At 56.3% G+C, this 13,981-nt stretch overlaps 1 protein-coding gene across 21 annotated transcripts in view, besides 6 other annotated features; it reads right to left on the minus strand.

Moving 5' to 3' along the window:
- SFXN5 (sideroflexin 5) overlaps positions 1-13,981 on the minus strand; it is a 129,677-nt gene that overhangs the window by 6,360 nt on the left and 109,336 nt on the right. For 13 of the 21 annotated variants that reach the window (NR_138476.2, NM_001371739.1, NM_001371738.1 and 10 more), the window contains one exon: positions 12,736-12,853. The exons of 6 other annotated variants lie outside the window; for them this stretch is intronic. Coding sequence is in view for 14 of the 15 variants with exons in the window: in NM_001371739.1 (NP_001358668.1) it covers positions 12,736-12,853 (118 nt within the window). In the remaining variant the exon portion in view is untranslated. Of the gene's footprint in view, positions 1-8,584; positions 8,709-12,735; positions 12,854-13,981 lie in introns of all 21 variants that reach the window. 2 more of the 21 variants (NM_001330400.2, NM_001330407.2) reach the window with 1 other exon arrangement.
- Positions 1,691-2,192: an enhancer, noted in NCBI's record as "H3K27ac-H3K4me1 hESC enhancer chr2:73177215-73177716 (GRCh37/hg19 assembly coordinates)". NCBI's record gives its function as "activates a minimal SCP1, AML or CMV promoter by ChIP-STARR-seq in naive H9 embryonic stem cells {active_cell/tissue: H9 hESC(naive)}" and the evidence as "EXISTENCE:reporter gene assay evidence [ECO:0000049][PMID:30033119]".
- Positions 2,193-2,694: an enhancer, noted in NCBI's record as "NANOG-H3K27ac-H3K4me1 hESC enhancer chr2:73177717-73178218 (GRCh37/hg19 assembly coordinates)". NCBI's record gives its function as "activates a minimal SCP1, AML or CMV promoter by ChIP-STARR-seq in naive H9 embryonic stem cells {active_cell/tissue: H9 hESC(naive)}" and the evidence as "EXISTENCE:reporter gene assay evidence [ECO:0000049][PMID:30033119]".
- Positions 3,197-3,698: an enhancer, noted in NCBI's record as "OCT4-NANOG-H3K27ac-H3K4me1 hESC enhancer chr2:73178721-73179222 (GRCh37/hg19 assembly coordinates)". NCBI's record gives its function as "activates a minimal SCP1, AML or CMV promoter by ChIP-STARR-seq in primed H9 embryonic stem cells {active_cell/tissue: H9 hESC(primed)}" and the evidence as "EXISTENCE:reporter gene assay evidence [ECO:0000049][PMID:30033119]".
- Positions 3,699-4,200: an enhancer, noted in NCBI's record as "NANOG-H3K27ac-H3K4me1 hESC enhancer chr2:73179223-73179724 (GRCh37/hg19 assembly coordinates)". NCBI's record gives its function as "activates a minimal SCP1, AML or CMV promoter by ChIP-STARR-seq in primed H9 embryonic stem cells {active_cell/tissue: H9 hESC(primed)}" and the evidence as "EXISTENCE:reporter gene assay evidence [ECO:0000049][PMID:30033119]".
- Positions 5,594-5,763: a silencer, noted in NCBI's record as "silent region_11630". NCBI's record gives its function as "represses an Ori minimal core promoter by ATAC-STARR-seq in GM12878 lymphoblastoid cells {active_cell/tissue: GM12878}" and the evidence as "EXISTENCE:reporter gene assay evidence [ECO:0000049][PMID:35858748]".
- Positions 10,719-11,219: an enhancer, noted in NCBI's record as "H3K4me1 hESC enhancer chr2:73186243-73186743 (GRCh37/hg19 assembly coordinates)". NCBI's record gives its function as "activates a minimal SCP1, AML or CMV promoter by ChIP-STARR-seq in primed H9 embryonic stem cells {active_cell/tissue: H9 hESC(primed)}" and the evidence as "EXISTENCE:reporter gene assay evidence [ECO:0000049][PMID:30033119]".

Consider the following 13,981-nt stretch of genomic DNA (forward strand, 5'->3'; position numbering starts at 1 on the left):
AGTAAGCCAAGGAGTATTTTAAGTTAAGACATCTTGGATGTCAGAGGTGTGAGCAGCTAATTTTGTTCTGCTACCCATAACAGATGTAGCATATTTTATTTTAGTGCCATTATTAGCAACTTCCCATGCCGGCTTTCACTGAAGCACTGAGGCCCACATTAAAATCAGAGAGGCTGCTCAGCACCACCATGCAGGACCACGGCCCAGGGCCACGGCCCACTGTGCCCACTCCCTAGAGCATGCTGGCCCGGGGGAGACCGAGGCCTCCTCCTCCTGGCACCCCGTCTCCCATGGGCTCCCCGCCACACACAGGGCAGCAGGTAGGAGCAGGGGGAGATGCAGGCAGTGGGAAGGCTCCTGGGGGAGGTGGCTGAGGGATCAGGAGCAGGGGCCCCAGGACAGAGCTGACATCCTAGGCTTCCTCTCTCAAGTCAATCCACCCTCCTGTCAGCAGATGTTGATGGTCACCAACTCCAGACACCCAGGCTGGGCACACAGAGGGGGACAAGACCAACTCATGCCCTCTAGAAGCTTAAAGTCTAGAGAGGAGTTGGCTGGTGAATGCAGATGGAGTCCAGAGAGACAAGCAGAGTGCCATGGCAACTGGGGAGGGGTTGGGAGTTCCAATGTATTGATAAGGGAACAAGGAATGAAGACTTCTCAGAGGTGGTGAGCCAGGAAGAGAATGGAGGATTTTGATCAGAAAGGGCAGGCCAAGCTTGCTGGGTGAAGAAAAAAATATTAGCTGGCTAGCATGGCCTGTTTCTGGGAGGCGGGGCAATGTTGGACTTGGAAATGTGGCAGGAAATGGAGGTGTGGCTGGGACAGGCAGAATCTTGTAGGCTACATGAAGGTGTCAGCATTTTACCTGAGGGCAATAGGGAGCCACAGAAGGACTTTGAGCAGGAGTGGACCATAACCCAGCCTCTGTTTTTATTTTTTTCTTGGGATAGGATCTCGCTCTGTCACCCAGGCTGGAGTGCAGTAGTGTGACTGCAGCTCACTGCAGCCTCAAACTCTTGCCTCAGCCTCCTGAGTAGCTAGGACTACAGGCACATGCCACCATGCCTGGCTAATTTTTAAATTATTTTAAAAATTTTTACAGAGACAGGGTCTCGCTATGTTGTCCAGGCTGATCTTGAATTCTTGGCCTCAAGTGATCCTCCACCTTCCAAAGTGTTGGGATTACAGGCATGAGCCACCGTGCCTGGCCTTAGACTGTCTTAGAAAGGTCTCTCTTGGGATGGTGGGTGTGGAGGATGGACTGGAGGGGTAAGGAGGGGGTGGGGAGGCCTCCTGGGGAGCATCTGTGGGAATCAGAGAAGTGCCAGGTCCTGCCCTATGATGCTGCCAGTGGGGGAAGACAGGAGGAGCCTTTCTGAAGATGAAATCCACAGGAGTTGATGACCAATTCCACGTGGGGGTGAGAGGGAGGTGTTGAGGATGACTGTGCGTTGGATGACTCCTAATTCTAGCTCAGGAGCTGGGGTGGCTGGTGACGCCATTCTCGGAGGGAATATGGGAGGGGATGGGCCAGGGTTGGGGGTGGTAGGCTCAGGATGGCCACATGGAGTCTGGGGTGCCAGTGGGTTCCCCAGGTGGACAGGCCTGGGAGGCAGATGGGTCCAGGGCTCTGGAGCTCTGGGCAGGAGAAAGCGCCCGGGATGTGTGAGCATAGCCAGATCCTTCAGAGTGGAGGAGCTCGCCCAGGGAAGCAGATGGAGGGGTGGGTGCCAAGGCCTGGGGAACAGGCACATTTGAAGGGCAAGCGGAGGGAACAAGCCTGTGATGGTGGCCTTGGGGGACCAGCCCGAGGAGCGAACGTAATGACAGAGGGTGCCACAAACACTGAGCAGCCATGAGCGTCAGAGAGAGTTTTCTGAGAGTTGTCCCAGTGAGGGCTGAGAGGCTTTGGTCTTGGCAACTGGATTTCAGTGACTGCCTGGGGTCCACATTGTCCGACCCCCACCTCATGCTGATCCTGGTTCATAGCCTCTCACTCTATCCCAGGCCAACTTAACTGGTCATTTGTTAGGACCCCTCCAGCTCTCTGGCCATGGCCAGGTGTTGGGTCAGTGGCCACCATCTCTAGGTCTCATGGGTATTGGGACCACTGGGGTACTCCCTGCTGGGCTTGGCTAGGGGAGGCTGGGGCAGGAACCCCTGAGTTGCCTGCTCACCTATATGTGATGTTTCCTCCCCTGTCCACCAAAAACTAAGCATCTCCCTTGAAGACCACCTCTCTGAGGTAAGTGTGGGGCCAAGTTTTCTCCAAGGGAACCACATCTAGGGCCTTGCCTGGCAGTGGCCTCTGGACCCATGGATAAGTGAAAGTGACTCAGGTCTGAGCAAAGGCAATAAAGCATCTCTTCCTGCTGCCCAACCAACTCCACCCCGCAGAAGGCCAGAGCCCCAGGGCAGTGGGTCGAGGGGCAGGGACTTGGCTGTGACCACAGACTGGCTCTGAGGGGCCTTCTCCGGGGATAAGGGGATGAGGAGAGAGGACAAGGAGTGGCCATAGGGAGAAGGGGTGGCCCAGGCCCAGGCAGCCAGCTCGGGGCGGGCTGGAATCCGTGGGCCCATCATCTCTTCCATCTGGTAGGCTCCTCCCCGGGCACCCAAGAGCCAGTCAACAGGGGCTCCCGAGGGAGGGGGTGTCTGGGATGGAAAGCCAAAGCCCTGGAGGGCAGGGGCTGCAGGGACCAGGGAGCACTGCCTGATGGTCGCCCCCGCCACAGAAGTGGGCTGCCAGGATCACCCTGCCCTGCCATGAAGGAAGCAGTGCCGCCCTGCTAGCGCTCCCTGACTCCCAGGCAGAACCTGCACACCAGCTCCCAGCCAGCCTCCTCGGGATGTGCCCCTCTCCGTATCAGAGTGCCACCCCATCTTCCCAACCCCGCTCAGACCTTGCTGCCCCTCCAGGAGATATCCCCAGACATGGAGCATCCTATCCAGCGTCTCCCCAGCCTCCCGGGCACCCTAAGGCCCAGCTAGAATAGCCAAGCACCTTCCCTTGTGGTGTGGGAAGGGTTAACCTTGAGCTATTTGTCTCTGTCTCCTGCCTCACTGTGGGTGGGGGGCTAGAGTCAGGAATGCATTTGGGGCCACCTCTGCCTCTACAGCCTGGGAGCACACACACACCTGCAGCCAGGCCAGCAGATAGTTTACATATTTGAACCTGGAGCTAAGGTGCGGAGACATAAACAGGAAACTGGATCCCCTGCCTGTGCCCCATTCTTGGGGGCTTTTACCTACTACAAAGAACTTCCTCCTGCTGGCCTTTCTTCTGATGGCTTTTCTGCCTCCTTTTCAAAGGCATGGGGCTGGGGGGGTGGGGTGTTCGGTGTGACCCTGTGACATAGCTCAAAGCCACCACCTGCTCCTGGGCAGAGGTCTGGGCTTCTGAGGGTCTGCAGAAGGTGGCGACATTGACGCAGGGCCCAAAGCCCAAGCAGGCACCTGGCTGACCCTGTGTGCCTGAGGCCTCTGCCAGGCCTGGGACCGCTTTGTCCACTGGGCACAACATCCCATCCTTTCTCACCAGGGCTGGGCAGGCCCCATGTCCTGTTCCGACACACACACATCCAGGCCCCACCTTTGGGAGAGCTATCTTGAGTGTCTTTGGAGAGCAGAGGCATTAGGCTGGGGCTGGGGAGCAGTTGAGGCCTAAGCCTAGACCCCTGGACCCCTGAGTTAGGCCTCTGGTGCTGGCTCTGGGCTCCCACTACCTTCTCAGTGAAAGAACCCTCAGCTGGACACTCCAGGCCTTCTGGGACTTTTTCCAGCTTCTTCACCCATCAACTGCTGTCCATTTTCTGTACATTCTAAGTATACGCTTTGAGTCCTAAGTCCAGGCTATATCCTGACCCTCTAAGGCTGCCTCCTCCAGGAAGCCTCCCTTGATATTCTTAGACCAAATCCATTGCTGCTGCCTCTGTGTCCCCAGCACATGCTTTTATCTCCATCCCATCCCCAGGCACAGGCTCATTTGCACTCTAAACAGGGGTGACTACAGTAGTCCCCTGCCCCACCCCACTGTGAGCCGCTCCAGGCAGCTCGGTATCCCTATGCCTTGTGCACAGTAGGTCCTCAGTAACAGCTGAGTTAAGTGACACTGAAGTGCCTCGTGGGCAAGAATCCTGTCTTACACTTTTCCGGCTCCCCTGTGCTATGTGTTCCCAGCAAGTGCTCAGACCACACCCCGCCCCCTACCATTTTGGAGCTTTGCACCATTCCTGGGTGCCCTCTGGTGGACCAATCTCAGAATCATTCTCTGTCCTCTGTCTTCTAAGCTTTGAGGCCTCAGTTTCCCCACATGTATGATGGGAAGATTTTCTAAGATCTCCTGGTGCCACGAGGATTATATCACAAAATGGATAGGATGGCCCTTTGGAGGCTTAGAAAACCTGCGTGATGCTGTGTAAAGAGGACAGCACCCAGGGTCCCCACACTCAGCCCCAGCCCCACTCACTAAGCTCACAGGGCTGAGCCTTGCTGCAGGCCAGGCATGTTCCACTTTGCATGTATTAATGCCTTTAATGGAAGCTCTGCACAACCAAGCCTTCTCCCTCCCTATCCTGGATTCAGCTAGGTGTCCTGGAAGGTCCTGGAAAAAAGAACTGTGGGGGAAAGGCTGTCAGGCAGCCCCGCCGAGGCCTGCCACCCGGGCATGTGTACATGTTCTTGCGTGCACGTGTATGTGTGCGAGCCTGTGTGCACGCGCAGGTTTGGGGTGGGGGTGTGGGGAACAGGCAAAATGACAGGTGGCGTTGGCGTTCCTGGGCTCTGAGCGGCTTTGCCATTCCCATCCATCCCTCCTGGGGGGTCCTGTGGGCAAACTCCAAGAAAGCAGCGGGCGGGGAGGCAGCAGATTTCTGACGGCAAAAATAGCCCACTTTAGAGTTCAGTAGGGACTGATTAAACCAGTAAATGAGAAAAACCCCAAACAAACATCTCCAAGCAAAGTAGGAGATGGATTTGAGACTGGAGGGAAGGAGGCCCCTGCTCTGGGAGACGCTGAATGCTGCTGTAGACTCAGGAGGGATGCAATGTGCCCTAGACATTGTCTCTGGCCTCGCATCAACCCTGGAAGAGTGGGAGAAGCAGGGACCAACAAAGTCAAGGTGAACCCAGATGAGCCACGCTCTGTACTAGGTGTTGATAAAGGGCACCAGTTCTCTGCCACAGGGACACCTTGTGTCATGGAAGGGAGAAAGGTCTACTGTCCTAAGGGGGAAGATGGAACACAGAAAACACACCACCAGAGCCTACACAGGTGAGGTGAGACAGATCTTAGTGGGGAAGATCAGGGAGGACTTCCTGGAGGAGGAGCCATTTCTAGACCAGCTTGAATGTGGACTCACATTCCAGCTTATTCCCAGCTCTTCTCCATTCTTGGTTGGGGGTCCCAATACTTTCTCAAAGAAAGATAAGCTGGGGGGACTTTGCTTCTGGTGGCTCACAGCTGTTTAGCCAGGCTGGTTCATCAAAACCACCATTTTCATCAGGGCTGGTAAGAGGGTAGAGATAGTGGAGGTTCTGGTACCCACTGAGGGTACCCACATTTTTGCCCATACAGGGAGGGTATGCCTCTCTGTTTCTTAACCCTGAAAGCTGTAAGTGGGGAGGCAGGAAGGAGTATGGGGTGGCTGAGGTTGGCCTTCCTGCCTCGTCTACCACATGGGTGTGGCCTGTAAGAGCCACCCTCTGAGGCCAGGACGAGACAAGGCTCATAACGGGCTGAGGACATCGGGGGAAGGCTTTAGACTTCCTCAGAACATGGCTTCTAATCCCCAGAACCCTCTAGAGCTGAGGTGAGTAGGGGCTCAGCTGAGAGGGAGGGACATGGGGAGTTCCCAGGGCTGACATGGGAGGCTCAGGGCAGGAAGCCCTGGCCCTGGGAGACTCTTAGGCTGTCTTTTCTTCTAGTTGAGGTGCTTGGCAAAAGCTAGAAGGGGCAGGAACAGGTGGTGGGGGTACCGGGGGAGGTCAGTTCTCTGCTGAGGCTTCAGGGAAGGCAGACGGCAGATGCCAACAAACCAACAAGACAGCCAGGAGGGAACAGGCCCACAGGAAACAAGCCTCCTGGCCAGTGAACCTCACTCCTGCCCCCAGGGGCCCCTGCAACAGCTGAGGCAGGGAAGAGACACACGCTCATAGCCGCCAGCCCCTACAAGGGCGCCCCAGGGCCCTCTCCCCTGCCCGCAGCCCCAGCCAGGAAGCACACTACCCAATCTCTCATCCCCACCCCAGCCCCCACAGCTGCAGGGAGGACAAAGGAGCCAGTGAGGGTCTAGGGGCCATAAGACACGTTCCCAGGAAGGCTAAGGCCCTGCCCACTTGCCGTGCCCAGACATGGCTCCCAGAGGGTGGCTCCCAGAGGGCACACCCTTGCTGCAGGCCGGGCACCTGAGGGGCAGCATGTAACTCAAGTGGACTCACTCAGTCCACTGTCTAGCACCAGGGCCCTGTCTTGAGTTTTCACTTCCCTAATCCTACTGGGAGAAACTTGGTTCTTACAGGAAGAAACTTAGTTCCAACACCTCATCTTCCAGCTGGGGAAACTGAGGTCTTTGAGGTTAAGACCCAAGGTCATATGGAGAGTTGAGGTAGAGGGATGCCAGCCAGAGGGGCAGAGGGCAGGCCTTGGGGCCACGGGACAGCCCCTCCACCCCAACATCACCTAGGGATGGGTTCGAGCTCCCGGCTGCCCCCCTGCTCCCCGTACCTCACTCATCCACAGACAAGCCCCACCTTCTGTGGACACATTTCAACCTCACCAAATCAGCTAATTATTGACAGTTGGTGAAGAGGAGATTTCACTTTTTCCTCCTGTTAAACTGCTCCTAATTAGTTCCCTGTCACCACGGCTGGCTCGCTCGCCCGCCCGCCGCCCGCCCGTTCACGCAGTAATCCCGCTGCACAGTGCCTCATTAACCTTTTGCTCCTCTCCTGCCGCCTGCCAACAAGATGAAGACAAAAACAGATTGTTGAACAATGGCTCCGGCTTGTATGTGCAGCCCCGTTCCCCAGCCCCCGAGCTCCCAGGGGAAGAGTGAGGAAAAGAGAGGGGACTGCGGTGGGGGAGAGCCCGAGAGGAATCAAGGAAGGGAGAAAGAGGCACAAAGAAAGATTGAAGCAGAAACAGAGGCAGGGATGTGGGGAGGGGCCTTGGCCAAGGTACTGCTTCTTGCTCCAGAGAGACATGAGGTTCATTAAACAGGATTGGAAGTGCTCCCAGGTAGGGAACACCGGCTGTCAGAGTTAGAGGGACATTTGCCACCACCCACTACAGCCTCTTGTGGTAGCCAAGCCCGTGTTCCTGGACACTGGACCCTGCACATCTCCCTCAGGGAACCTGAGGCCCCAGTGTATGTCTGTGTTGCAGTGGGGAGGACACAGAGGACCCCATTTGCCTGGAATCCAGAGCCCCAATCACCAAAGGGGGCAAGGCCAGAAAGGCCACCACAATCTGGCCCTACCACAAGGGAGGCACCCAGCACCAGCCCCACCTATAGCGGCCCCGGCAAGCTGCCGCGCAGCCTCTGCTTTAGGTCCATCATGACCTGTGCTGTCACCTGACAGTTCTTGTTTATTGAGTTTTGTCTCCACCACCAGCGGGGAGATTCACTGAGACCACAGGGGTCCTACGTGGCCATCCTGGTAACAAGAAAAATGGGAAAGTGCCCAGGCTCCATGGGGCAGAGAGCAGATTCTGGGTGTGATGGGCCCATCCATGTTTGGGGACAGGCTGGTGGGGCAGGCCTACAGCAGTAACCTCCAGATCCACCAGATCCGCCAGGGCAGACCCTGTACTCCCTGCATGGGCAAGAGGACTGGGGTCCAGAAGGGAGCCCAGGACCTGTTCCCCAGTTCTCACGACATGAGGTTCCCTGCCCTACCTGTTGGCCCTTTAGCCTCCCTCCAGCCCCTCCACTGCCCAGCCCCTTCCTCAGCTCTGGGTTGGAAAAGACATAAACACTGATTCCAAAAGGTCCCTGTGAAAACGCAGATTTCCTGTGGAGGGGAGGAGGGCTGGGTGAGGGCACTGGGATGTTCCTGCTGATAAATTAGTAGCAAGCAATTTGGAGCCCAGAAGTGGGCCTCCTCTTTCTATAGTGAGGTGTGGGTGGGCTGGGGAGGGTCACAGAATTCTTCTGCCTGGGTACAAAGCCTGCTCCATCGTCAACAACTTTGGATCTTGGACAACGTACTTAACCTTAATGTGCCTCAGTTTCCTCATTGGTAAACAAGGAATATTGATACCTACCTTGGAGAATTCTCAGGATCCAGGCCCCCATTTCTCCACCACAGCCAGGTAGCCCCCTCTACTCACTGGACCCAGGGACTCCATAGAGGCCATGCCTTCCCGCCTTGGGCTCTGGGCATTCCTTCCCCATCATTGCCCTCTCTCCAAGCCCCCCAACCTCCATCTCACAGTTTCTTTGCTGTTCTCCCACAGTTCCCCATCTTTGAGCTCAATCATCTGAACAAAGAAGAAACTGAATACCATGTTGCCTCCTAGACTGCCATGTCTAGCTATGCCACCTAAGTCTCCTCCACTCCTAGTCCCCTCTGCACTCACCCACTCTGGAGACAGCCCCTCCTCTTTGAATCGCCCAAGTCCTCAGCTTCCATGAAGTTACTCCATCTGGGTTCTCCCTGTGCCCTTGGCTGCTTCTTCCCCTTCTTGATGGTTTTTCTTCCTCCTATAGTGGACCACATCCCCTTTCTCAGCTTCAACTCCCCCCCATACACTGAAGGTTCCGTATCTCCAGCCAAACTCTCTCCCCAGAGCCATCTGACTGTCTAGGAATCATCTCTTGATGTTCAATGTTTTAGACTTAAGGGGCATTAGGAAGACTTAATACAGTAAGGTACACCGAGCTCCCAGCATGCTGCCTGGTCCAATAGATATCTGGCAAATGGTAGCCATTATTATTATTTGCAGTTTGACCCTCAGTACCATTTTAATAAGCAGAACTACTAATTTGAAAAGAGCAGATAAAACTCTCCCCCAGGAACTGAAGGAAGGATTGAAGTCCTTGCCTCAATCTCTGGGGTTAGTGAGTTGGAAACTCCACAACAATCACTGCAGGCCAGCCACTCTAGGAACTAGTTCCTAAATTCTACCTCCGAGTCCCCTGATTAGTTAATTGGTGTTCCAGTGATTACTTCTGTTGACAACCTTGGTGGCTTTTGGCAAGGCTGGGTCAGCCCAAGCAAGTCCAGACTTATTGTGGCAAATCCCACTGGCTTCTGGGATGTGAGACATGATCCCTGTATGGCAGAAGAAGCACCTTGTTAGGGAGAATTAATTGGGAGAGTGAATGCGGAAACAAGGCCCTCTCGGCAAGTTGGCTGAAGGCTTTGGTGCCATGGGTCCCAAACAGGGCTCAAAACACCCCATAATGCCCAGGCTAGCCTGCATCTTGTTGGGATCCACATAGCTGAGGAGGGAGCTCTGAAAATCATGCCTGTACCCTCCCTTCCCAGAGGAACAAAGACTTAACATGCAATGACTATCTTCTTCCCAATCTAGAGAAAGAGGCTTGGATTGCAATAAGAGGGACTTTGGTTAAATATGCAGAAGAACTAACTCCCATGTCTATTTGAAGTAGGCATGTGGGGAGAGGGGAGCCTGGGCTTTGACCTGCAGCAGCTGTGAGACCAGGGTGGCTCACTTTCCATCATTGCTTTGCAGCCAGAGCTGGAGGCCTGGGTGGGTGAATGGTAGGCATCTCCCCATTATATGCCCCAGAGGAACACCTGCCAAAGACCTACAGCTCTTCTAGACCGTTTCCTACCACCCACCACAGTGCAGCCCCCAGCTCCCTCTTCTCTTGGCTGTCCCAAGGTAGGTAAGGTGGTTGACTAGGGAGAGAAACTCAGCCACAGGAAATGATCAGGTGTAGCACTTCCTAGGGGCCTGGACTTGGAGTGTGGACCTCTGGTGTTTCCTCTCCTATCGGCACCTGACTTCTGCAACCTTGGGCTGGTCCCATGGCTTTTCTGGGCCACCATTTCCCCAGCAAAGTCAGTAGCAAGGTAAACTGGATGACCTTGAAAATCCTTCTAACTGGGAGGGTCTCTGATTCTGCATCAGTATTTTCTTTGCCCTGGGTCCCTTCTCTGTGCAGGCAGGTGGAGTTATGACAGCTACTAGAAGCACAGAGGTACCTATAAACACATGGGTGACTCTGGCCCTGGCCTAGGACCCTGGGCTCAGGCTGATTGCACAGACAGATGCAATGGCTTCAGGGAGTGCTGGGCTGGGACAGGGATGTCAGAGACCACTGAGAAATACCCGCCTTCCCTCTTCAGGGCTACTAGGCAACCCAGAGCCCATGGCTCCATTTGGAGTCCCAGGCTGCAGGTTTCCCAGGGTGAGAGGTGGGGGAAGGAGCATCCCAGCACCCATGACAAGGCTGGCCGCTGTGGGCATGAGATGAGGTCCTGCTAGCTTTAATCTTGGTGTGCGTTGAATGGTGTCCCCCAAGACAGGAGCCCCACTCCCACAGAGTCTCCTCCTCAAACTCTGGGGCTCTGGAAGGAAGCCACCCCATTTCTCACCTTCCAGGGCCTAAGGCGGGTCACCCCCTCCTCCTGCTCTAAGAGCCTGGGTCTCCAGCCCTCGCAGCCCCAACAGCCCCGGCCTCTTGTTTTCACTTCCCCGACTTGTCTCCAGGAGCCCTCACCTCTCCTCCACCTCTCTTGGGGCCCTGCCTGAAGCAGGTCCATGGTGAAATCACAGATTCAGAAGCGCCGCTTTCTGGCCACAGCCCTCGCCTTCTTGTGAGCTCAATGCAGACACCTCCTGGGCCCTCTTGGGTCTGTGCCTTCCCCTCAGCTTAGCTCCCACCTTCACTCCAACCCAGCGTGGATCCCGTGGTCCTCTGCTCCTCCGTGCTGTCACCCATCTCTCAGCCCCCCTCACCCCCAACCTGACAAAACCCCAGAAGAAAGGATCTGTGGCCCTCCCTGTACTGGCCCATAGCACCTCCTGGTGAACAGGCCCGGCTGCACTCCCAGACCACGTGCTGCTCAGCCTCCTCACCTCTCATTCTCCCCTGGATGTCTCACCCCTTCTCTGTGTCCTCAGACCTCTGACTTCCTGCCCCTTCCCCACCCTACTCTCTCCTGTCTGCTCAGTCACAAGAACACAGGAGCCATTGGAACAACTTCTTCAATTTTCCTACCCCTGAACCCTACCCCCAGCAGCATTTTCCTCCCACCCCACTCCTCTTCCACCTACTGAAGTGGGGAGGGGTCTCCCCGTGCCAAGGCTGATCCCCTCGTCTGTGCTCTGGTCCCCCCTCCTCTTCATAGACTTTCCCAAAATCGTCCTGTCAGCGTCCTCGACATCTCTCCTGGTGCCTTCTCTACTGCATTTACGCAAGCCCCTGTCTCTCCCATTTAAAACAAGGACAAATACATAAATAAAAGCCCCTCCTGATCCCACATCTTGTTGCGGCTGTGGACCTGTCTTTCTCATTTTTTCCCCTCACCTGTCACCTGGATCCCTTCTCTGGGGACAGGGTTTGGCTACGTTGCCTGAGACACTAATGGATACTCTGTAATCTCATGGAGTGTGACCTCTCAGGAGGGTCTGACCCTGTGGATGCCCCCCACCCACCCTGATCACACATGGCCCGGATCTGCCCTCACCACCCTGGCTGCTTGTCTTTGGACCCCGCCAGGGTGGAGGCCTCACCCACCACCCTCGATTCCAGCACTGTTGTCATGCTGGTAGGCTCTACTTCTATCCCTCCAGCCCAGGCGTCTCTCCTCATTCCAGACCCAGAGCCAACATCCCACAGGCTCCTCAACCCCGCGTGTCCATCCAACTGACCCACTGCCCTCCCTCGAACCTGCCCCCGCCTGGCTCCATCTCATTAAGCACCTACATCTGCCTGGTTGTTCAAAACCAGAAAGCCAGTGCACATCCTCTGGCTCCCGTTCCCTCCCACCACATACAGCTCTTCATCGAATCCCGAAGAAGCCGCCTCCTGACTCCCTCTTTAGGGACCCACTTCTCTCCATGCCCACTGCCAACAGCCTGGTCCAAGCCGCCATCACCGCTTGCTGGATGCCCGCCACAGGCTCCTGATGGTTCCTTCTCTGGAGCTCTAACCCAGCCCCACGCGGCAGCACAGGGGCCGCTCAGAATCAGGCATCTGTGGTCTGCCCTGCACAGCCCTTAGGAGGACATTCACCCTCTCTGTTCTGGCTTCCAAGTTCCCAACACCACCCAGCCCAGCCCCTCATTCCCAGGCCACATCACCTTGCTGCACTCCCTGGTTGCGCTGCAGACTTTGGTCAGCTCTTGGACATGGCGTGTGCTGCCTCACCTCTCAGAACCTTCACACCAGGTGTCCGCGGACCTCACATCTCCCCCCGCCACCCCTTTTCATCTGGCCAACTCCAGCCACGCTCCCAGTCCCAGTGAAATGTCACTTCCCTCTAGGCTCAGTTTGGTCTGCTGTCTCCTTCCACACCCAGTGGAGCTTCTCCCACCCTAACGCTCCTGGCTCCTCATCTGCTGGCCTCTGTTTAATCACCCTGTTGACTGCGTGACCCTCACTCTGAGGGCCAGAGCCTGGGCCAGCCTCATTCACGGTTCCAGCCCCAGCGCCTAGCATGGCGCTAAGGAGTCGGCACGGTATGAGTATTTGTTCAGAAATCACCAAACAGCACCCCCTGCCCTGCCCTGCCCTTGAGCCCCTCCCCACTGACCTCTGACATTTGCGGGAAGAGGCTGATGGCCAGCGGCAGGGCCAGGCCGAAGGCTGCCAGGCACACGAGGCTTTGCACAGGGAGGAGCAGCCGGGGGCGTGCCTGCAGGAGAGCCGTCCTGTGAGGGAGAGAGGAGGGAGCCCCATGAGACCCGAAGGTGGGGTGGGCTGGCTGCCAGCCACCATGCTGGGTCCCACTCTGTCTCTGGGCCCAGGAAGCGTGGTTCCGGGGCAGTGCCAGTGTGCAGCTAAACAGATATAGCAGAGTTCTGTCTTTGGGACCTTTTCCCGATAGGTACCCCTATCCCAGCGGGTATAGACCCCTATCCCAATGTCTTGAAGGACGTTGCTGGCTGAAACCTCAATTACTCAGGTCACGAATGAGTACTTTCGGGGCACCCACCCGCCACGCGTCCAGCCCCGTGCCAAGAAGGCCCTATGTGGGAGAGACACTCAAAGAGGCTGTCGGCCCCTGTTCCTGGGGAGACACATAGGGACGTAAGATCGCTCTCGAGGGCAGCACGTAATTAAACAGCAAAGAAACCAGAGTAGGTGCCAAGTTCAGGGGAGATGACAAAGCACATACATATGGGCACACGCCAGCCAGGAGGGGGTGATCCTCCTCTATGTGTGAGAACAGAAGACACCCCACTGGCCACCTTGTCAATTTCAACCCAAGGGCAACAGAGGGTGCAATGACTCGTCCAAGGCCAAGTCTGCAGGAGGCTGTCAGAGCTGCTGCCTGGACCCCTGGCTCCCCGAGGGTGCTGTCACCCCAGCTGGTCCCCTGTGCCAGCTTCATCACCAACACAACACAGCTGGCACCCTCTTCCCATGGCTGGCTTCGGAGCTGGTTTCCTGGGCAGGGGAGGGGGCATGATAAACCTCCCTTTGGGGCCCAGGCTCCCCAGACAGCGTGGGGACATACCAGCTGGCCAATGTGCCTGCACTGTGTTCATCGGAGCTTCCTGTTTTGCTCAATACAGCAGGCCCTTCAGCGGGGACCACAGCATTCCACCTGGGGAGGCCTGGGATGACTAGACTATTTGCCAGGGGGTGTTGGGCAGGCACTAAATCTGACCTCAGTAACTGTTAGCCTCCAAGTGACAGGCTCCTGGTGTGAAGGGGAAATAATCCAGGCTCTTATCCGCCGCCCCCAGCAGGGCTGACCATGCCACAGGCAGGTAAGGGGCCCTCCTAGGGGCAGAGCCCCAATGTGGCGGGCAGTAAACCCCATATACTGTCAC

Source organism: Homo sapiens, chromosome 2 (assembly GCF_000001405.40).
Source record: "Homo sapiens chromosome 2, GRCh38.p14 Primary Assembly".
Taxonomy (NCBI): domain Eukaryota; kingdom Metazoa; phylum Chordata; class Mammalia; order Primates; family Hominidae; genus Homo; species Homo sapiens.